We start from the raw sequence: 19828 nt of genomic DNA, 5'->3' as shown, positions 1-19828 counted from the left end.
ACACATGGTAGATTCTCCAAGCTCATGTTCCTCCACTGCAAGAGAGGAACACTGTGTGCAGGGCATCCATCTAGGCCCATGTCACATCACTCCCATAGAACAATACTAAAAATACCTGAAATCCCTAAATTAACTGTACACCAATTCTAGAGAAAGGAAATACAAAGTTCTAATTTGGTATGACAGGAGAATCCCCTTCGCACCATTTCTAATACCTGCAAACCAGTAGCAAAGGATTCCCCCCAGCACCTACCTTCTCATGATGACTCTAGGAACCCAAGACAGGGACTCCCAAAGGGAAGTCATTTTGGGATGGAAGGGATCAAGTTTCCTAACTATAGGATTTAGAAACAGGGTAAAAGGTGATACAGAGTTTGGAAGATATTCAGTGGGGTGACTGAGCCGGAAGGAAGGAGACTCCTAACAGTAGTTTGTATCCCTTCATCAACCTCACATCTGAGGTTATTTATAGTTCTATATCAGTTCTGGATACTTTTCTTTCCATTATTCCCACCTACTGATTTCCACTAAGAGTATTTGCTCCAATGTGGCCCACTGTGGAAGATGTAGAATTTTACCACTTGTTTTTCTGGTCTTTTGTTCCAATAACTAAAACAATGTAATTCCTATAACCTTAAAACAAGGGCAGTAATGTTTCATAAAGTTTATGCGATTATGATGGGTAGGTGGAAGTAGTGAGTGTAATGCAGATTTAAACAGACTGCTTGTTTTTAAGCCCTTGGTTTGATGTGTGGCAACACTAAATAGCCCTTTAAAGAAAGATAAGCATGCTGTCCTATAAAGTCAACTTTGTAGTTCCAAGATTGCCATTTACTAAGAAACTGCACAGAGAACTTCTACACTGAAATGAGAGATCATGTTCATTTTTTCCATCAGGATCACAGCCAAAAACAAACCATATTTCTTGAAAACTTAGGTGAGGTCTCCAAGAGTTAAACAAAACAGATTTACCAGCAAAAGACAGGAAGAGTAAGATATAATTTGAACCAGGCAAACTGTTTCATAACAGAAAATGTGGCATTTAATGCAGTTTGCAGAATATGGTATGCTAAAAACGCTACTTATGGCTGTAGCAGGCCTCTGGAGAGTGAAACCAGCCAAACAAAAGAACTAAAAAAGGTAGAAAAAGAAGCCATGTCAGCATTACAAAGCCACAAAAAAACTGATATGATTTTTTTTTTTTTGGTGGATTACAATTCTTTCACCATACTTTTGGTTTAAAGGCACAAAAGGTATATGATAAAAAATATTTTTTTGATCATTTTAAATTAGGAATTTATATTAATTTATCCTAATTTAATAGGACTTGTGTTTTAACAGACACATGTAATACTGAGGTCAACCAAGTTACTAACACAGAAGGCTATACAAGCTGATCAAAGTTCTTCTCTGCAACTCCTTCTGGAACAGATTTACTTTGGGTTCCTGAGTGGGTTGGCCTGCTGCTAGGACAGACTAATGCTTCTTTACTTGAAATAAACATTCAGTCAAAATTTCTACCAAAAAAACTCATATTGAAAGGCTTGGCTCACGTCTCGATGTGCTGGCCAAGTAAAAATAAGCACAAAAACCTCAATGCAGGTTGACTAGAAAATTATTCTAATTGTCCTTAGGTCTCTTTGCATTAAACATAAAGTGTTTGAATCTTTCTTTATAATCCTGTCAATTCTAAACTTCAAAAAGACTGTGTCTGTTTGGCTTTTGTACTCTTAAGGGGGCTCTGTAAATTTAAAGTATTTTTAATGAAATATTTTAGACATGAAAAAAGATAAAGACTAATTAGAACTTTAAAAATATGTAGGTCAACGGTATATCATTGTTAAAAAAATTAACCTCATCTGAATATACATTCATACAATAAATGTAGACATTCATACATTGAGACTTTGCTGACAAAGTCTCAATTAACGTTGAAGAACTGGGGGATGTGTGAGATGAGAAAACATAGAACCAATAAGTATTAGCTTTTGTTTCTAGCAGTATTTATTGGTTCTACATTTTCTCATATTTTTAGCAGTGACATACTCTTGACCTATATATTTTTTAACTTCTAATTAGTCTTTATCTTTTTTCATGTCTAAAATATTTCATTAAAAATACTTTAAATTTACAGATCCCCCTTAAGAGTACAAAAGCTGAACAGACACAGTCTTTCACACCAGAGAACTAATAAAGGATGTCTGACTAATAGACCAACATATAATTAATTGGAATATGTTTAGAGATTATAAAATGGGTCAATGGCATACAGTGATGATTGTCAACATTAAGATGCTCATTATTCAGATAGTAAGCCTAAAAGTAGAAAAAAAAAAAGGCAGGGGGGTTGCTCTTCTGGTTTTTAAATACAATGATTGTATCAAAAAACCTTATGTTTAGAAGAAACCTTTCTATATTTTTCCTGCACCTGTTCCAGATAACTCTTCTGGAACAAGCAGAACAATTCTATTTTCCACATAACAACCTTCCTTTCCTGGAAGATGGCTCCCAGGTCTACTTTCCATCCTCTCTTCTTCAGTTTACTGAATCATTCCAACCTTTAACCCACTCCTCTACCCCATGGTTTCTAGATACTCTCCCCATCCTAGCTATGCTTTTCTGGACTTTTCCATGTTTGGGATGACTTAGATTAATATTGTTAATATTTTTTAACAACAGTGATATACTGTTGACCTATGTATTTTTAAAGTTCTAATTAGTCTTTATCTTTTTTTCATGTCTAAAATATTTCATAAAAATATTTTAAATGTCCTAACATATTACATAAAGGCAACTTTGGATATTTTCTATTATAAGTTTCATTTGGGGGTATTATATAAGAAACATTCAAGTTCATAATTTAAAAGAGTATTAAAAGGAAATCATCATTCTCAGTAAACTATCGCAAGAACAAAAAACCAAACACTGCATATTCTCACTCATAGGTGGGAATTGAACAATGAGAACACATGGACACAGGAAGGGGAACATCACACTCTGGGGACTGTTGTGGGGTGGGGGGAGGGGGGAGGGATAGCACTGGGAGACATACCTAATGCTAGATGACGAGTTAGTGGGTGCAGCGCACCAGCATGTCACATGTATACATATGTAACTAACCTGCACATTGTGCACATGTATCCTAAAACTTAAAGTATAATAAAACAAAAAAAAAGAAATTTCAAAGCATTATTTTTAAAAATCCTTTTTCATCATTCTTAACCTGGTTGGTCTCCCATGAAAATCATACTCTTTTCTTATTGGTCACACAACTTTTTAATTGAAAATATCACAGAAAGCTTTTGGATTTTTGTTATTGTCATTTTTTTAACATATTGTAGAAATTTTTCCATGCACCAAAAGGATAGAAAAATAAACACCCAGCTTCCATCATTATCAACATTTTGCCAATCCAGTTGCCTCTATCCTGTGCTCACCACCTTCCCATCCCAGCAACATTGTTTCATCTTCAACTGAAACACACGCTATGTATTAGAGCCTATTATGCCATAAGCATTGTGCTTACCTCTTCTAGTCCTCAAAACAAACCAACATAACAGTCAAGCCTAATCCTGTACTGTCCATGGTCTCTAGTCTCATAGCAACACTAATTTTCCTATTCCATGTCTTGACATGCATTGTTTTCAATACCTATACAAACGATGGGACTCTTATTCTAGAAACTGGATGTTCTACTTTCACCAGACAATATTCCTTTGTTATGAATTTTTACAATATTGCTGGCTGAGATTACTGTTTATGCAACTGTGGAGCAATTTTATAATTAAATGGGTCACTGACATGCTGGTTAATAAATTCTGGCAGACAGATCAGACAGTAGTCTGATAAACAACCTTGCATAACCCACAGGATTTTAAAATTACTTTTCAAATGCATTCTACCTAAAGAAAGGATGAAGTAGTAATATTAACAACTAGTAGTATCCATTTTTATTTTAAAGAAAACATACACACTTTGCTTTCCCAATCGTAACTTTAGAGAATCCACTGTTTGACTATATAGCTTTAACATTCATTAAATTTTAGGACCAAGATGTTCAATTTAATACATAAGTTATTTCCAATCATTTTGAAAGAAAGCAAGAGTTAGTTGGCAAGTGCAGTAACTGGCTTTAGAGAGTGACAGGTCTTAGGAAACTATGTGATTTATAAATTATAAGAAATCCCTACAACATGCTAGAAAATTTAAAGGTTTGCAAAAATGGGAAAGTACCAAATAATCACTAAGAGACAGAATTCCTAAGAGTAGCTAGTCATCATTATGAAGTGGTGAAAATACTTCAAAACGGCAAGGAAGAAAGCTAAATATAAAACCTACCTAAAAAGTAATCTATAGACTCTTATCTGAAGATCGCTAAAACATTTCAATCAGGAAACGTTGAATCTGTAAAATATTAGTGGATGACTGGGTTGAGGGTGTAAGGGCTTGAAGAGAATAATAAGAGGGTTGGTTCTAAAGAAGGAGTAAAGAAGAGGGAGGTATGCATACTTTGCTTTTCATCAAACCACTTCACTTTCAAAAACCTTTTCACTTAGATTCTAACGTAGTAAGCCTTACCCTAATTTTCCTCCAAAGACTAGATGTGCAATTCAGCACACTCTTTTATTTGATGCAATATAAGAAACTCTAAAAAAAACAAAAACAAGGCAACAAAAGCAAAAGGTGTTTTTTTGTTGGTTTTTAAATCAGGCATTAAGAGAAGCACTAAGTTTCAAAACTTACATCTGAACCGACATTTCTCATGGTACTTTGTAGGACAGGTTTAGTCACGGAAAGTTTTCCATTCACTGGGCTATTCGCTGAAGGGGCTGGTACCACATTCACCACGTGATTAGGGAGCTGTGTGACTCCCCCAGCAACAGCAAGGACTGGCTGAGCAGAGGGCAGAACTCCAGGTGCTTGAAGTTGTACCACAGTAGGCTGAGACAGCAAAACCGTCTGGCCTGCGTTAGAAAAAAGAAAAGGAATCAAAGGGTACACAACTACTGTGGCAGGGGAAGCAGCTTATAATTAGGTCTTTTCTGCAGACGTAATGGGTAAGATCAACACCAAGGGATTGGACACCATCAATTAAAACATTGGATCAATAGCAGCACACGCTTATGGTGACTTTGTTATGTTTTTAATGTGACCAACTAAATTCATCTCTTTGAGTTATCATTAACAATATACTTTAATATACTTTCTTATTTATCTTTCTCAACTAAACAGCTATCAAATTTGCTGTAATCCCTAGATTTCTAAGAATTAACCTCTGAAATTTATTAGTGCTAAAAGGATTTGTCTTATTATAAATAACAAATCTTTTACACTGAATATGGAGAGTCATGTATTCTAAATTAATAGGATTTACAAATGCATACAATACCAAAAATATCTGAACATAAACTTAGTAACTCAATATTAGAAGAAGAAGGAGCTACAGGCCATGCACTGTGGCTTACACCTGTAATCCCAGTGCTTTGGGAGGCCAGCAGTTTGAGACCAGCCAAGGCAACATAGTGATAGCCTGTCTCTACAAAAAAAAATTTAAAAATTAGCCAGGTATGGTGGTATGTGCCTCGAGTCTTAGCTACTCAGGAGGCTGAGGCAGGCAGATCCCTAAAAAGGACAAAAAAAAAAAAAAAAAAAAAAAGACTACAAATACCAAAAAACTTAAAACCATTTGAGATTAAATCTTAGCTAACAATCACGGTAAACATAAATCTGTGATTCAAAATAGTCTGTAGATGATACCAGCCCTTTCCCTCTTCCCCCAAAAATGGCCTTCAATTCTTTTCTGAGTATTCAGAGGTATCATTATTTTAAATTTATGCTAATCTGACGAGAATTATTAGAGGTTGAACATCCTTAATCCAAAAACCCAAAATCCAAAATGCTCCAAAATCCAAAACTTTTTGAGTGCTGACACAACTTCACAAGTGGAAAACTCCACACTTCTGGTCCTAAGTATTTTGGATAAGGGATACTCAATCTATAATAATGACAATGAAGATGATGCTGTTAACGCTGCAGAAAAAGTGCCTATAGATGACATGGTAAAAATGTGTGATGGGCCTAGTGAAGGACTAAAGCAGCATACAGTCATAACAGAAAAAGAAATCATGTCAGTTTACAAAATCAAAAAGAGACTTCTAAAACAAAAACTTGTTAATGAGGCAGATGACTCCATAGAAAACATTTTTAGAAGTCATCCAGCAGAATGCCTCCTCATCCCTAGAGGACCCACTTCCAGTCTCTCAACTGCTTCTGATGTTTCTTCTCACCTGAAGACATAAAATAGAGGGTACAGTAGGCTTTTAATGAAAACAGCATCAAAGGCAGAGACTGAAAGCTGCCATTTTTTGTTGTTGCTGTTGTGTAGTAGCTGACACTGGTATTCTGGTGATTCTACTGTCCTGCCTTGTTACTCTGCACACATTATTTTTTCACTGTATTAATGGTATGTCATAATTTTTGTTAAGTTCTTAGGTGTGAATTTGTGAATAAGTGTAAGAAAATGATTGCTTGTCAGTAGCATATGAATTCAGAGCCAGGAATGATGGTGGTGCCAAACAACTACAGATTGTCCACAGGAGATAGTGACAACTGTGCTTTCTGATGGTTCACTGTATGCAAACTTGGTTTCATGCAGAGAATTATTTAAAATATTATATAAAATTACCTTCAGGCTATGTGTATGAGATATACATGAAACATAAATGAATTTCATGTTAGACTTGGGTTCTGTCCCCAAGATATCTCATTATGTATATGCAAATATTCTAAAATCCAAAAGTACCCAAAATCTGAAACACTTCTGGTTCCAAGCATTTCATTTAAGGGGTACTAAACCTGTACCATTAACCTAAAGACTTATACAACTCATAACACTAATCTATTAAAAATTTTACTTGCCTGCTAAGTGTTTCCTTTCAGATCTGGCAGATTTTTATAAGGTGCTGAAAGCCTTGCCTAACATCCACAGCTGCTTGAGCCTATCTAACAAAATGAAGGTACTAAAATAACTGGCAACTAAAATATCATGTAAATTTATAATTTGTTTAAGAAAAAAAAAGCATTATGCTTTCAGACAGGTTGACCCATGTAAAACTCAGCTCAATATTTCAAAGGATCGGGGAAAACTAAAAATCAAAATAAAGCTTCAGAACACCTGTTTGTCAAGAACATCTGTCTTGGCTAAAAAAGATAACTTATAAAAGCAAAGCCCTTGTTTCAGATGGCCTCAAAAAACACACTGAAAGTAGCAGAATTTCAATAAACAGCATTTTATCCCAGATAAGAAGATCTAAAAATAATTTCATGGATTTGGAGTAGATACAATGTATTAATACTTCGGCATAAATGATCATTAAACATTTTTACCTTCTCGTTTTCCCTTGGATTCAGTTTTTCTTTCCCCCAACTTTTATTTTAGGTTCAGGGGGTAGACAGGCAGGTTTGTTACATGGATAAATTGCATGTCACAGGTGTTTGGCATACAGATTATTTCATCACTCAGGTAATGAGCACAGTACCCAACAGGTAATTTTTAGATTCTCACCCTCCTTGCATCCTCCACCCTCAAAAGTAGCCCCTGTTGTCTATTGTCCCCTTTTTATGTCTATGTGTACTCAATGTATAACTCCCACTTATAAGACAGAACATGAAGTATTTGGTTTTCTGTTCCTGCATTAATTATCTTAGGATAATGGCCTTCAGCTCCATCCATGTTGCTGCAAAGAACATGATTTCATTCTTTTTTATGGCTGTGTAGTATTGAATGGTGTATATGTACCACATTTTCTTTATCCAGTTCACCACTGATGGGCATCTAGGTTGATTCCATGTCTTTGCTATTGTGAATAGTTCTGTGATGAACATATGTGTGCGTGTGTCTTTATATTCCCTTGGGTATATACCCAGTAATGGGACTGCTGGGTCAAATGGTAGTTCTACTTTAAGTTATTTGAGAAATCTACAAACTACGTTCAGTGGCTGAACCAATTTACATTCCCACCAGCAATGTATATGCATTCACTTTTCTCTGCAATCTTGCCAGCATCGGATATTTTTCAACTTTTTGATAGTAGCCATTCTGACTGATGTGAGATGGTATCTCACTGTTGTTTTGATTTACATTTCTCTAATGATTAGTGATGTTGAGCATTTTTTCATATGCTTATTGGCCATGTCTATGTCTTCTTTTGAAAGTGTCTGTTCATATCCTTTGCCCACTTCTTAATGGGGTTGTTTTTTGCTTGTTAAGTTTCTTGTAGATTCTGGAGATTAGACCTTTGTTGGATACACTGTTTGCAAATATTCTCTCCCATTCTGTAGGCTGTCCTATTCCTCTGTTGATAGTTTCTTTTGCTGTGCAGAAGCTCTTTAGTTGATTTTTATTTATTGATTTTTGAGCTCTGTCACCCAGGCTGGAGTGCAGTGGCACAATCTCAGCTCACTGCACCTGCCGCCTCCTGGGTTCAAGCAATTCTCCTGCCTCAGCCTCCCAAGTAACTGGGATTACAAGCATGTACCACCATGCCTGGCTAATTTATGTATTTTTAGTAGAGATGGGGTTTCACCATATTGGCCAGGTTGGTCTTGAATTCCTGATCTCAAGTGATGCACCCCTCAGCCTCCCAAAGTGCTGGGATTACAGGTGTGAACCACCACGCCCAGCCTCTTTAGTTTAATTAGATCCCATTTGTCAATTTTTGTTTTTGTTGCGATTGCTTTTGGAGTCTTCATCATGAAATCTTTGACAAGGCCTATGTCCAGAACCATATTTCCTAGGTTTTCTTCTAGGGTTTTTATAATTTGAGCCTGTACATTTAAGTCTTTCATCCATCTTGAGTTGGGTTTTGTATACACTGAAAGGAAAGGATCCAGTTTCAATCTTCTGCATATGGCTAGCCAGTTATCTTACCACCATTTATTGAATAGGCAGTCCTTTCCCCACTGTTTGTTTTTGTTAAAGACCAGATGGTTGCAGGGGTGCAGCTTTATTTCTGGGTTCTCTAATCTAATCCATCGGTCTATGTGCCTGTTTTTATACCAGTATCATGCTGTTTTGGTTACTGTAGTCTTGTAGTACAGTTTGAAATCAGGTAGCTTGATGCCTCTGGCTTTGTTCTTTTTGCTTAGGGCTGCTTTGGCTATTTAGGCTCTTTTTCAGTTCCATGTGAACTTTAGAATAGTTTTTCCTAATTGTGTGAAAAATGTCATTGATAGTTTGATAGGAATAGCATTAAATCTGTAAATTGCTTTGAGCAGTATGGCCATTTTAACACTATCGATTCTTCCTATCCATGAGCATGGAATGTTTTTCCATTTGTTTGTGTGATCTCTGATTTCTTTCAGCAGTGTTTTGTAACTCATTGTAGAGATCTTTCACCTCCCCAGCTTGCTGTATTCCCAGGTACTTTATATTCTTTTTTTGGCTATCGTGAATGAGACTGCATTCTTGATTTGGCTCTCAGCTTGGACATTACTGGGGTATAGAAATGCTGCTGACTTTTGTACATTGATTTTGTATCCTAAAACTTTGCTGAAGTTGTTTATCAGATCTAGGAGTCTTGGGCTGAGACTATGGGTTTTCCAGGTATAGAATCATATCGTCTGTGAAGAGAGGTAGTTTGACTTCCTCTCTTCCTATTTGGATGCCTTTTATTTCTTTCTCTTGCCTGACTGCTATGGCTACAACTTCCAGCACTATGTTGAATATGAGTGGTGAGAGGGACATCCTTGTCTTGTTCTGGTTCTCAAAGGGAATGTACTTCCAGCTCTTGCCCACTCATTACAATGTTGGCTGTGGACTTGCTATAGATGGTTCTTATTATTTTGAGGTATGTTCCTTTGATGCCTAATTTGTTTTGAGGTGGCCTCCATCTTTTATGAAGTAAAAACATATAAAATGCAGAAATTACTCAGAAGCAGATATAAACATGCTTAGGCCAAATACGCAAATAAAAATTAGAAACACATAAAGTAAATAGCATATGACCAAGTGTTAGGTTTTAATAACAATAAGAAATTACAGTAAATCTGGCACTATGAAAATATATATTTATCATAATGTGAAAAAAAAAACCAAAAAACAAGAATTCCCAAGTGCTCAAGTCATAGCCAGAGCAATCAGGCAAAAGAAAGAAATAAAAGGCATCCAAATATGAAGAGAGGAAGTCAAACCATCTCTCACACAGATGATATAATTCTACACCTAGAAAACCCATAGTCTCTCCCCAAAGGCTCCTGAATATAAGGGCTCTCTTTTAATATAAAATAATATCCTGGTCACCCAAAACCATCAAGGTTGTCCTTTCAGCTTCTGTGTACTGAGAAAATACATGATGGAAAAAGGCTGCTAAGAATTTAGTGAAGATTTAAAATGAACTTGGAGTTTATTAGTCAGAAGTATAGCTATAAAAATTTGAAGAGCTGTACAAAGATATATGAAATAAATTATTTGGTCTACAGAAAATGCTTGCTTCAAGTATGGATTTGCAGATGCTTTGCAAAATGCCATAAAGCTACTACCCCCATCACCCACATCCCAGGGTCCACAATATACAGACTGAGAACCACTGACTTAAACCAATACTTTGAGAAGAGTATTATAGGAAGCCATGTTCTACATCCTCTGAGTTTAAAATTATGATTAAAAGATCCCTCCCCAAAATTAAACACTGTTCAGGGAACTTTGGGACTATTTTAAAGAACAGAAGAGGTGTAAATATAATGAATTAGGCAACTTATAAGAAAGAATCCTATTTCTAGCTACAGTTACAGATTTAAAGCCCTAGCAGATAACATGTACAGAGGGCTTTGTAATATTTCTTAAACTAATTAAGAAAAATAATCCAAATCTGTACTACCAATTGTGTAATTACCACTGTCTCCTTGCTGAGACGACCGCATCACACAAAGGAGATGGAAGAATACCAAGGCAAGGCCAAATGTGGCTTGAGTCCTACCAAGCCACTGCTGCTTCCTTTTTTTCCCATATTGTATCAAGCCTTTTCATCCCAGAGTACCCAACTATCCTCAAATTACCCAGCAGCTAAATCAGGGATACTCTAAATATTCTAGGCATGTTTGGGTTCAACACAGAATGAGGGGAAACAACTAAATTTCTATGACAATATGTTCAAGTGAAAGAACAAAAAACTCTCATGGTGACTTGGTAAATGCTGACCAGGCCACAAACTACAATGCAAAGAATTGTTTGGGGCCTTAAATAGCAGCTGAACATAGTTACTACTGTTCCTAGTGTGGAAACAGTTAAAAAGGACATTCCAAAGGCTGTTTATCCATTTTAGCATGCTCAAAATCCTCTCTGGCATTACATGCAAATCCCCCTTAACGGAACATGGCTGGATTCAATGCCATATATTTTTTTGACTATGTGTAACTCACTGATTTTGATAGTTCTTTCTTTTAAACTTTCTTCAAAGATTTTAAACTATGTATCAAACATTTATTGAATGCCTACTTTGTCTGAAACAGCATCGGTGTGTGACTTAGGGCAAATAATCTGTACTTAGCGTTCTCATCTAAAAAATGGAGATATCACAACCCATCACCATAAATCATAGAAACATACTGAAGTTTCAAATAATGTGTAAATATTATTTGAAATAAGATAATGCACTTAAGCACTTAGAAGAGTGTCTGGCACATAGTAAGAACTTAAATGCAATTATTATTATTATTAATCTCCTTTTCTATATAATAATAGCTTCCATAAGGGCACTGCATGAGTTATTAATTTATTAGTTATCACAGTGACTGTTATTTAACTGTTTATGTGAATTTAATCCCCCAATTAAAGTGTAGAATTCTTGAGAGCAAGGAATACATCTGTCATTTTTTTTTTAAGGCGATACAGTATAGTGATTATTCACATAGACTCCGAGCCAGACCACCTGGGCTCAAGTTCTGGCTCCACTTCTTATTAGCAGAGTGATCTGGGCAACATATTTTACCTCTGTCTCCCATTTCAATAATTTTCGCCATCATCTACCCAAAAAGCCCCAAGATAGAAAAACGGAAGTCATCCTAGACACCTTCCTCTCTATCGTTCAGCCTCCTTCTACACAATCCAATTACCAATCTCTAAGATTCTACACTTTTAACATCTCTACTCTTCATCCTGGTTCTCCACTTTCATTGATATTCCAGGCTTTCATTATCTCTCATCTACACTACTCAAAACAGTCTTAAAGGACATGGAGGACTGAGAAGTAGAAGTAGGCATAAGTTGTTGCTGGTTGGTAGAAAATGGTGAGCCAAAAAACTAGGAAAAACAAGAGAATTCAAAGGACAATGACAGATTAGTTGAGCTAGAAGAAGGGATTTATAGAAAAGAGTAATATTATAAAGTTCGAAAACTAAACTAGGAGGCCAGGCATGGTGGCTCACGCCTTAATCCCAGAGCTTTGGGAGATCAAGGTGGGTAGATCCCTTGAGCCCAAGAATTCGAGACCAGACTGAGCAATATAGTGAGATCCTGTCTCTATTAAAAACAAACAAACAACAATAACAAAAAAACAAAAAACTAAACTAGAGCCAAATTGTGAAGAGTTTTACATTCCAAGCTAGAGAATCTCAGTCTTAAACCTGTGGAAATTACCTCTTCTTTTTCAATGGTAACATATTTACTACTAGTATTAACATGATTAACTGTATAATGTCTTGCCCATACTTCCCTTCTTCCTCCCCATTCTCAAATAAATGAAAAACATACTTTAAATCTGTATGTTATTATAATAATACCACCTATTTAGATTGTACTATAAAAACAGACAAGGCACCAGGCGCGGTGGCTCACACCTGTAATCCCAGCACTTTGGGAGGCCGAGGCAGGCGATTACGAGGTCAAGAGATCAAGACCATCCTGGCCGACATGGTGAAACCCTGTCTCTACTAAAAATATAAAAATTAGCTGGGCATGGTGGCACGTGCCTGTAGTCCCAGCTACTCTGGAGGCTGAAGCAGGAGAATCACTTGAACCCAGGAGGTGGAAGTTGCAGTGAGCCAAGATCACACCACTGCACTCCAGCCTGGCAACACAGCGAGACTCTGTCTCAAATAAAAGAAAAAAAACAGGCAAGGTGCAGTTCCTCATATTAGCACATGCTCACAAAAAAATAACTATAGTCTTCAGATGACAGGAAAGTATTGAAGTTTCAAATAATGTGTAATTCAGGTTTCTGGAACTGATAAACTGCTCAGAAAAGAACAGTTTGTCTTCTTATTATAGGTAAGATCTTCCATCACTCAAACATAGTCAATGATCTGCTAAGGGCAAATTCTTAGGAATACCCCTGCTTTATACGCTAGTCATATTAATGTCAGACTTTTTGTATAGACGTATTTTAATAGCTTATGGGAACTACAATGAGGTTCTTCATTAGTTTAAATTCTTAGCCTTTGGGAAGGCACAGATCCTTATGAGATCCTAATGAAAGTTTTGGAGACTATCCCTAGAATAATCCACATATGAACATACATTAAATCCTGCATTTTGTTTCAAGGAGTTCATGAACCCTTAATACACATTTATAAATCACAAGAATACCTATTCTATAGGAATGCTACTTTTCAGATGGAAAAGGCAGCAGTTCTGACTTTGTACTGAGAGAGCAGGCATTTCAAACTGGTTTTTGTTTGTTTGTTTGTCTGTTTATTTTTGGTGGGACTGATGGATGAATTTTCACTGATTCATCCATTCTCTCATCTAGGTCTTCTTTTTATCAATGTCATATTGTCTATGACCATGTAATAGAACAAAGCTAAAAGAGTATCTGGAAATTAAATTTATCAAATTTACCCTCATTAAAACTATGCTCCAAAAAACGAGCTACCTATTCACAATTGGAGATACAGTACAAATGTAACATTGGTGTTTATTTACAACCCATACCCCATTATCGCCTAGTCATATCTGGTGCCAACAAACTAAATCCAGAGATAAGAATGCTGCAAAAGTTTTCTTGTACCCAGTGTATACAGATATCAGTATGAGTACAATGATGACTAATCTACCTAAGAGATCTCCATACGGAAATGACTCCCATATCTGAATAGTACCAAATCCTCAGACTTGAACTTCTTTCAATAATGACATAAACCTCTCATAGAATCACAAGTGTATGAGGCCATCTGGTGGATAAAATACGAAACACACAAATTCTTAGCTAGTTGAAAGCAGAGTTCAGGTCTCCTCATGACCAGGTCAATATACTGTTTACTAAACCATGCAGCCTCCTCAGAGATTAAGGGTGTGATTCTATTGCTATAACACACCTGAAATGGACCCTATTATTTTAAATATTCCTTCAAAACAAAAAAAGTTCACAGCCACAAAAATCTGGCTGACCTGAACTCTGCCTTCAACTAGCTTAAAATTTGTGTTCCTGTATTTTATCCACCAGAATAAAATGGCACCAAGAAAGTGTCCCAGATTTTCAAAATAACCATCAGATGTAACTGGTCTGGAGAGCTATATCCCTTGTTATGACAGGAACCACACATTAGTCATCTCTGCAACGTCCTCATAACCAAAGACATTCCTGACAAACAGCACGTGCTCAGAAATTATAACCTGAATTAAAACAAATCATATGACACAACCCTTACTGCCCTCCAAATAAATTTACACAGCCTTAAATTCTGCTCAGGTACCTTTAGTGGGTGCAGGTTGTAAACTGATAATTGGTTGCTGCTTTGCCAATGGCATAAGCGTTGGTACTGTCTGAATAATGATGGTTTTTGCTGGAACACTGGAGTTTGTTTGAGTCTTGGGTGCTGCTGGAAGCAATAAAGGCTTGGGCTGAATTGAAGGTTTTGAATTCACCTGAATTTTTTTCTTTGGAGTCAGTCCATTTTCTGGAGAAAAACCAGACAAACCACAAGTCAATGTGAAAGCAATTACGCAAGCCCTAAAAAACAGATTCTATCACACACCTTTCTCTACACATTATCTTAACTTCGATTAACAATCTTTAACTGGAGTTTAAGCATAGCTACAGTACATATACCTGAATGAACTGAAGAAAAGTACTTAAACTGTTACCTCCTTTTCTAACCAAGCTGCAGTTTTGGGAATGGGACACACTAACTGGTAAAGGAGAATTGCTAAAATCACGGGATAACACCCAGAGATTAATGAGGTAACAAATGTCATAGCTCCATTCAGTTATCTTTAACTGAAACTTTGAAATCTCTCCTGAAGATGGTGGGGTCTGAGTCTATTTTAAAGTATCTTTCACCTGTAAAGACAGAGACAACCAAAGATTATTTCTCCCCTTTCCTCTCCACGGTAATCACTCACAACAAACAATATAGGTCCACCAATTAAAAAACAGCAAGCCAGCCTAATAAACATAAATTTAATCCAGCATTTTCTTTTAAGAAATGGAACCTAAGCTCAATCTGAAATAGAAATAACAGAAGTTAGGAGATAGAGTAATACCAGTCTTGTTCCTAGGACCAGTGACAGGCTTATCTTCCTTCAGTGGCTCCGCTGAAGAGAGACTATTAGAGTTTTCACCATATAAGGAAAGGGGAGACATCTGAGAACTAGAAGACAAATCCAACTCCTCCTGTAGCATAATAAAAACAAAAATTAATGAGTATAATCCTTAAGCAGCAAATTGCATAGAAAAGGAGGAGACCCACATATAAACAGAAAAACACTTCAGGGTAACTTCAAAGGAAAGGTATATTAGAAACTGTATATATATATTAAGTAATAAGTGACTATCAGCATGATCCATCTATACCAAAGGAAAAATAACTCAAAATGCAGAGTAAGTCTATGCCATCCTGTTAAAGATATGAATCATTGATCTGTTGCTACATTTCTTCCTACAAACTACACACACACACACACACACACACACAGAGACACACACACACACACAGAGACACACACACACACACACACATATAAAACTTGGTTCGTAGTCATACAAACATTCAGTATCAGTATAAGGTTGCAGTTAAAATGCCAATATCCTTTCTCCATAATCTCTCTTATTTGGTCTTAAAAGAATATCAAAAGCAAAATAATTTTATTTGTATTCTTTTCTGTTTTCTATTTTGTAATACTGCCTTTGTTCCAAATGTTGTAAAAGAAAGATGCATGAATGGAGCAGTGCTTTGTTGTTGTTGTTGTTGTTGTTGTTGTTGTTGTTGTTGAGACAGAGTCTCACTCTGTTGCCCAAGCTGGAGTGCAGTGACGCAATCTCAGCTCACTGCAACCTCTGCCTCCCCAGTTCAAGCAATTCTCCTGCCTTAGCCTCCCGAGTAGCTACAACCACAGATGTGTGCCACCACGCCTTGCTAAGTTTTTGTATTTCTGGTAGAGAGGGGGTTTCACCATGTTGGCTGGGCTGCTCTAAAACTCCTGACCTCATATGGTCCACCCACCTCAGCCTCCCAACGTGCTGGGATTACAGGCGTGAACCACCCCACCCAGCCAACAGTGCTATTTTCTTTAATTTAGTAGGTGAATTCATAATGATTGAGATACATAAAGATAACATTCGCATTTTCCCAAAGTCTTTTAATATTCAGTGAATCTATCTCATTTTGTTAGAATAAAGAAACAACATAGAAGTAGCAATTCAATTCAGACAGAAAAGATGGCATGCATGATCACGCAATAGACATAATCTCTACTTCATAACATCTTCAAAATAATCTATAAGATTATAATATAAAAATAAAATTTAAGAGAATACTTGTTTACTCTCAGGGTGTTGCAGACCCTCTTAAGTCAGAACACACAGAAGCCACAAAGGAAGAAGAAATAGATTTGAACAAATAATAAGTAAACTATTTAACAATAAAAACTAGACCATAAACAAAGTTAAAAGATATATATTGGTAGAAAATATTTGCGAAAAATAGACAAAAGGCAGGAACAGCCATTTCACTGAAAAGGAAACGCAAATGGTAGTCAAAGGCAAATTTAAACTTTTTTTATCATAAAAAAAAATTTAAATGACCTTGAGAGGATATGGGAGAAAGAAATGCTCTCAGTCTCACTGGTGAGAGTGACAAGTGACAATTGCATCTTCCTTCATCCTTAACACCTACTCAGCATGTAAGCTGAGCAATATGTAGAGTGTATTAAAATACATTTCCAAGAAACCAAAGAGTACAAGGTAACACGGGAGGAGACTATTATCTTCACGGCCTTTGATGCTTAAAAGGTATTTGATAATATTCGACAAGTATTCCTCAATAAAATCCTAGAAAACAAGGATCCGAGGAATACTTTCTTAACATTAAAAAGCTATCAGTAATTATACAGCCAAGTCCAATGCTGAATGCATTACAATTAAAGTCAGGATAAAAAATAGATACCTGCTTTTTCTGTAATTCTAGTATAATTACACTAAAAGAAGAAATTTAAAAAACATTAAAACAAAAGAGACAGCGTGCCTTTTAGCAAGGTAATATGCTATATACTTGAAGCACATGTAACAATCCACTGAAAAAAAAATTTGACTTGAAAATATTGTATTAATATACACTTAGAAAACATAATAAAAAATAAATATTTCAAGCCAGGCACAGAAAGACAAACATCACATGTTCTCACTTATTTGTGGGATCAAAAAACCAAAACAATTGAAATCATGAACATAGGGTAGAAGGATGGTTACCAGAGGCTGGGGAGGGTACTGAGAAGCTGGTAGTGAGATGGGGATTGTTAATGGGTAAAAAAAAAAAAAAAAAAAAAAAAAAGGAGAAGGAATAAGACATATTATTTAATAGCACAGCAGGGTGACTATACTCAATAAGAGCTTAGTTGTACATTTTAAAATAACAAAAAGTATGTAACTGGATTGTTTATAACACAAAGGATAAATGCTTGAGGGGATGGATACCCCATTTTCCATGATCTAATTATTTTACATTGCATGCCTGTGTCAAAACATCTCATGTACCCCACAAATATATATGCCTACCATGTACCCAAAAAAAGTTAAAAATAAAAAAGATTTAAATAAAACAAATAAATAAATATTTCACTCACAATAGCAATAACAATTACAAAATACCTAGAAATTTTCTAAGGAATGTGCAGGACCCATATGAAGAAAACTACACAACTGAACTAAGGCATAAAAGATTTCAGTAAACAGAGAGATATACAATATTGTTGAAAAGAGTGATTACAAGTGATTATAAAGACAATACAGTTAGGAAAACTGATTCATTTTATAGAGAAAATTAAAATTAGATCCCTACCTAGTGCTAGATCCCTACATAATACCACATATTAAAGTGGTGTCTAAGAGTATTAAGAAACCTAAATGTGAAAGGTAAACCATATGGTTAATAAAAGAAAATGCAGAATACCTCTGTGCTCTAAAAGCATAGAAGGACTTCTTAAATAAGCCATAAAGGAAAAGAAAAAAAAAGATAAGCCTGAGTAATTGAAAATTAACTATTTATACTTAATAAAGACTACAAAGTTAATAGATAATAGAAAGGGAAAAGATATAGGCAATTTGAATGTCTAAATCCAACAAGAGTTTTACTATTTCAAGTATATGAGGAATTCCTGCTGATAAACAAGAAGACAACAACTGAGTAGAAAAACTGGCAAAGGACAGGAATAAACAATGTATAAAAGAAAAAAAGTCCAAAAAGCTCATAAGAATGTAAATAAATGTTGAAAACAATAACCAAAGAAATACAAAGTAAAACAAAATAAAAGCAAACAACAAAAAAACACATTGTGCCATGGAGTAAAAATTAAAAAGGCAGACAATGCCAAGTATCAGGAGAGAAGTCACAGGGATCCTCAGGCACTGCTGCCAGCCCACAGAGTACTATGATGATCCTGGAGAGAAATATGGAAGCACTTGTCAAATTAAATACCTGCACATTCTACTACCCAGCAATTCTAGGCATATATTCTAAAGGATTTCTCACATGGGTCCGCAAGGGAACATTTTTTAAAATATTCATTATGGTGTAGGTAAAAATGTAGTGAATGCATACTTGAATGTTGTACAGAGTTAGATGCAACAGATTTGATGTACACAGAGCAATAGGAATTTATCTTAAAAACACTGTGCTGATTTTTAAAAGTAAATAATATAAAGATATCTACTATAATGCCATTTACATAAATTTAAAATACATGCATATAATTGAAATCAGATGAACTTTTTGATAAATGGTACTAGAATAATCATTTTGATAGTCATTTGGAAAAACATAAAATTGGATTTGTATCTCATATAATACACAAGGGTAATTTCAAATGGATCCGAGATCTAAACACTAAAAATAATATCTCATGATAAATACTTATTCATAGTCACTTAGAAAATATTCCTTCCTGAATAATTTTATCCTAAGCCACTAGATGGGGTAAAGCAAGACCACCATCCACGCAGAGAAGTAGCCTGGTGGAATGTCAGGGTCCAAGAAGGGTAGAGAGGGCACTGATATGGCAGGCGGCCTGGCATGAGGAGTCACAGCAGAGTGAGGAGGGCATCCGCATGGGAAGACAGCCTAGTGTAAGGACATCAGAGCCCAAAGGAGACATGTTAAAAGAACATAAGAGCTGGTGTGAAGGGACCCCCACTGGCCAAATCCAGAACAATGTAAGAATCAGAATAAATAATTATAGTAACGGATTATAATCTGTTGAATAAAATAAGAAACGATGAATCCATACAGATATTAACAAATAAGTGAACAAATATAAAGTGTGATGATGAACAGGATATTTTTACATAGTCTTAAAGTATCTTTCTCACAAAATATGTATGGCATAGAGAGAAAAAGCAAC

General features: G+C 35.8%; 1 protein-coding gene across 6 annotated transcripts in view; it reads right to left on the bottom strand.

The window, feature by feature from the left end:
• ATF6 (activating transcription factor 6) overlaps positions 1-19828 on the bottom strand; it is a 197751-nt gene that overhangs the window by 157055 nt on the left and 20868 nt on the right. For all 6 annotated transcript variants that reach the window (NM_001437597.1, XM_011509309.1, NM_007348.4 and 3 more), the window contains exons 5-7: positions 15479-15608; positions 14689-14892; positions 4744-4964 (exon numbers count right to left, since the gene is read on the bottom strand). In NM_001437597.1, the coding sequence (NP_001424526.1) occupies positions 4744-4964; positions 14689-14892; positions 15479-15608 (555 nt within the window). The remainder of the gene's footprint in view (positions 1-4743; positions 4965-14688; positions 14893-15478; positions 15609-19828) is intronic.

This window comes from Homo sapiens, chromosome 1 (genome assembly GCF_000001405.40).
Source record: "Homo sapiens chromosome 1, GRCh38.p14 Primary Assembly".
Lineage (NCBI taxonomy): Eukaryota > Metazoa > Chordata > Mammalia > Primates > Hominidae > Homo > Homo sapiens.
This window is presented reverse-complemented; position numbering and strand designations above follow the sequence as displayed.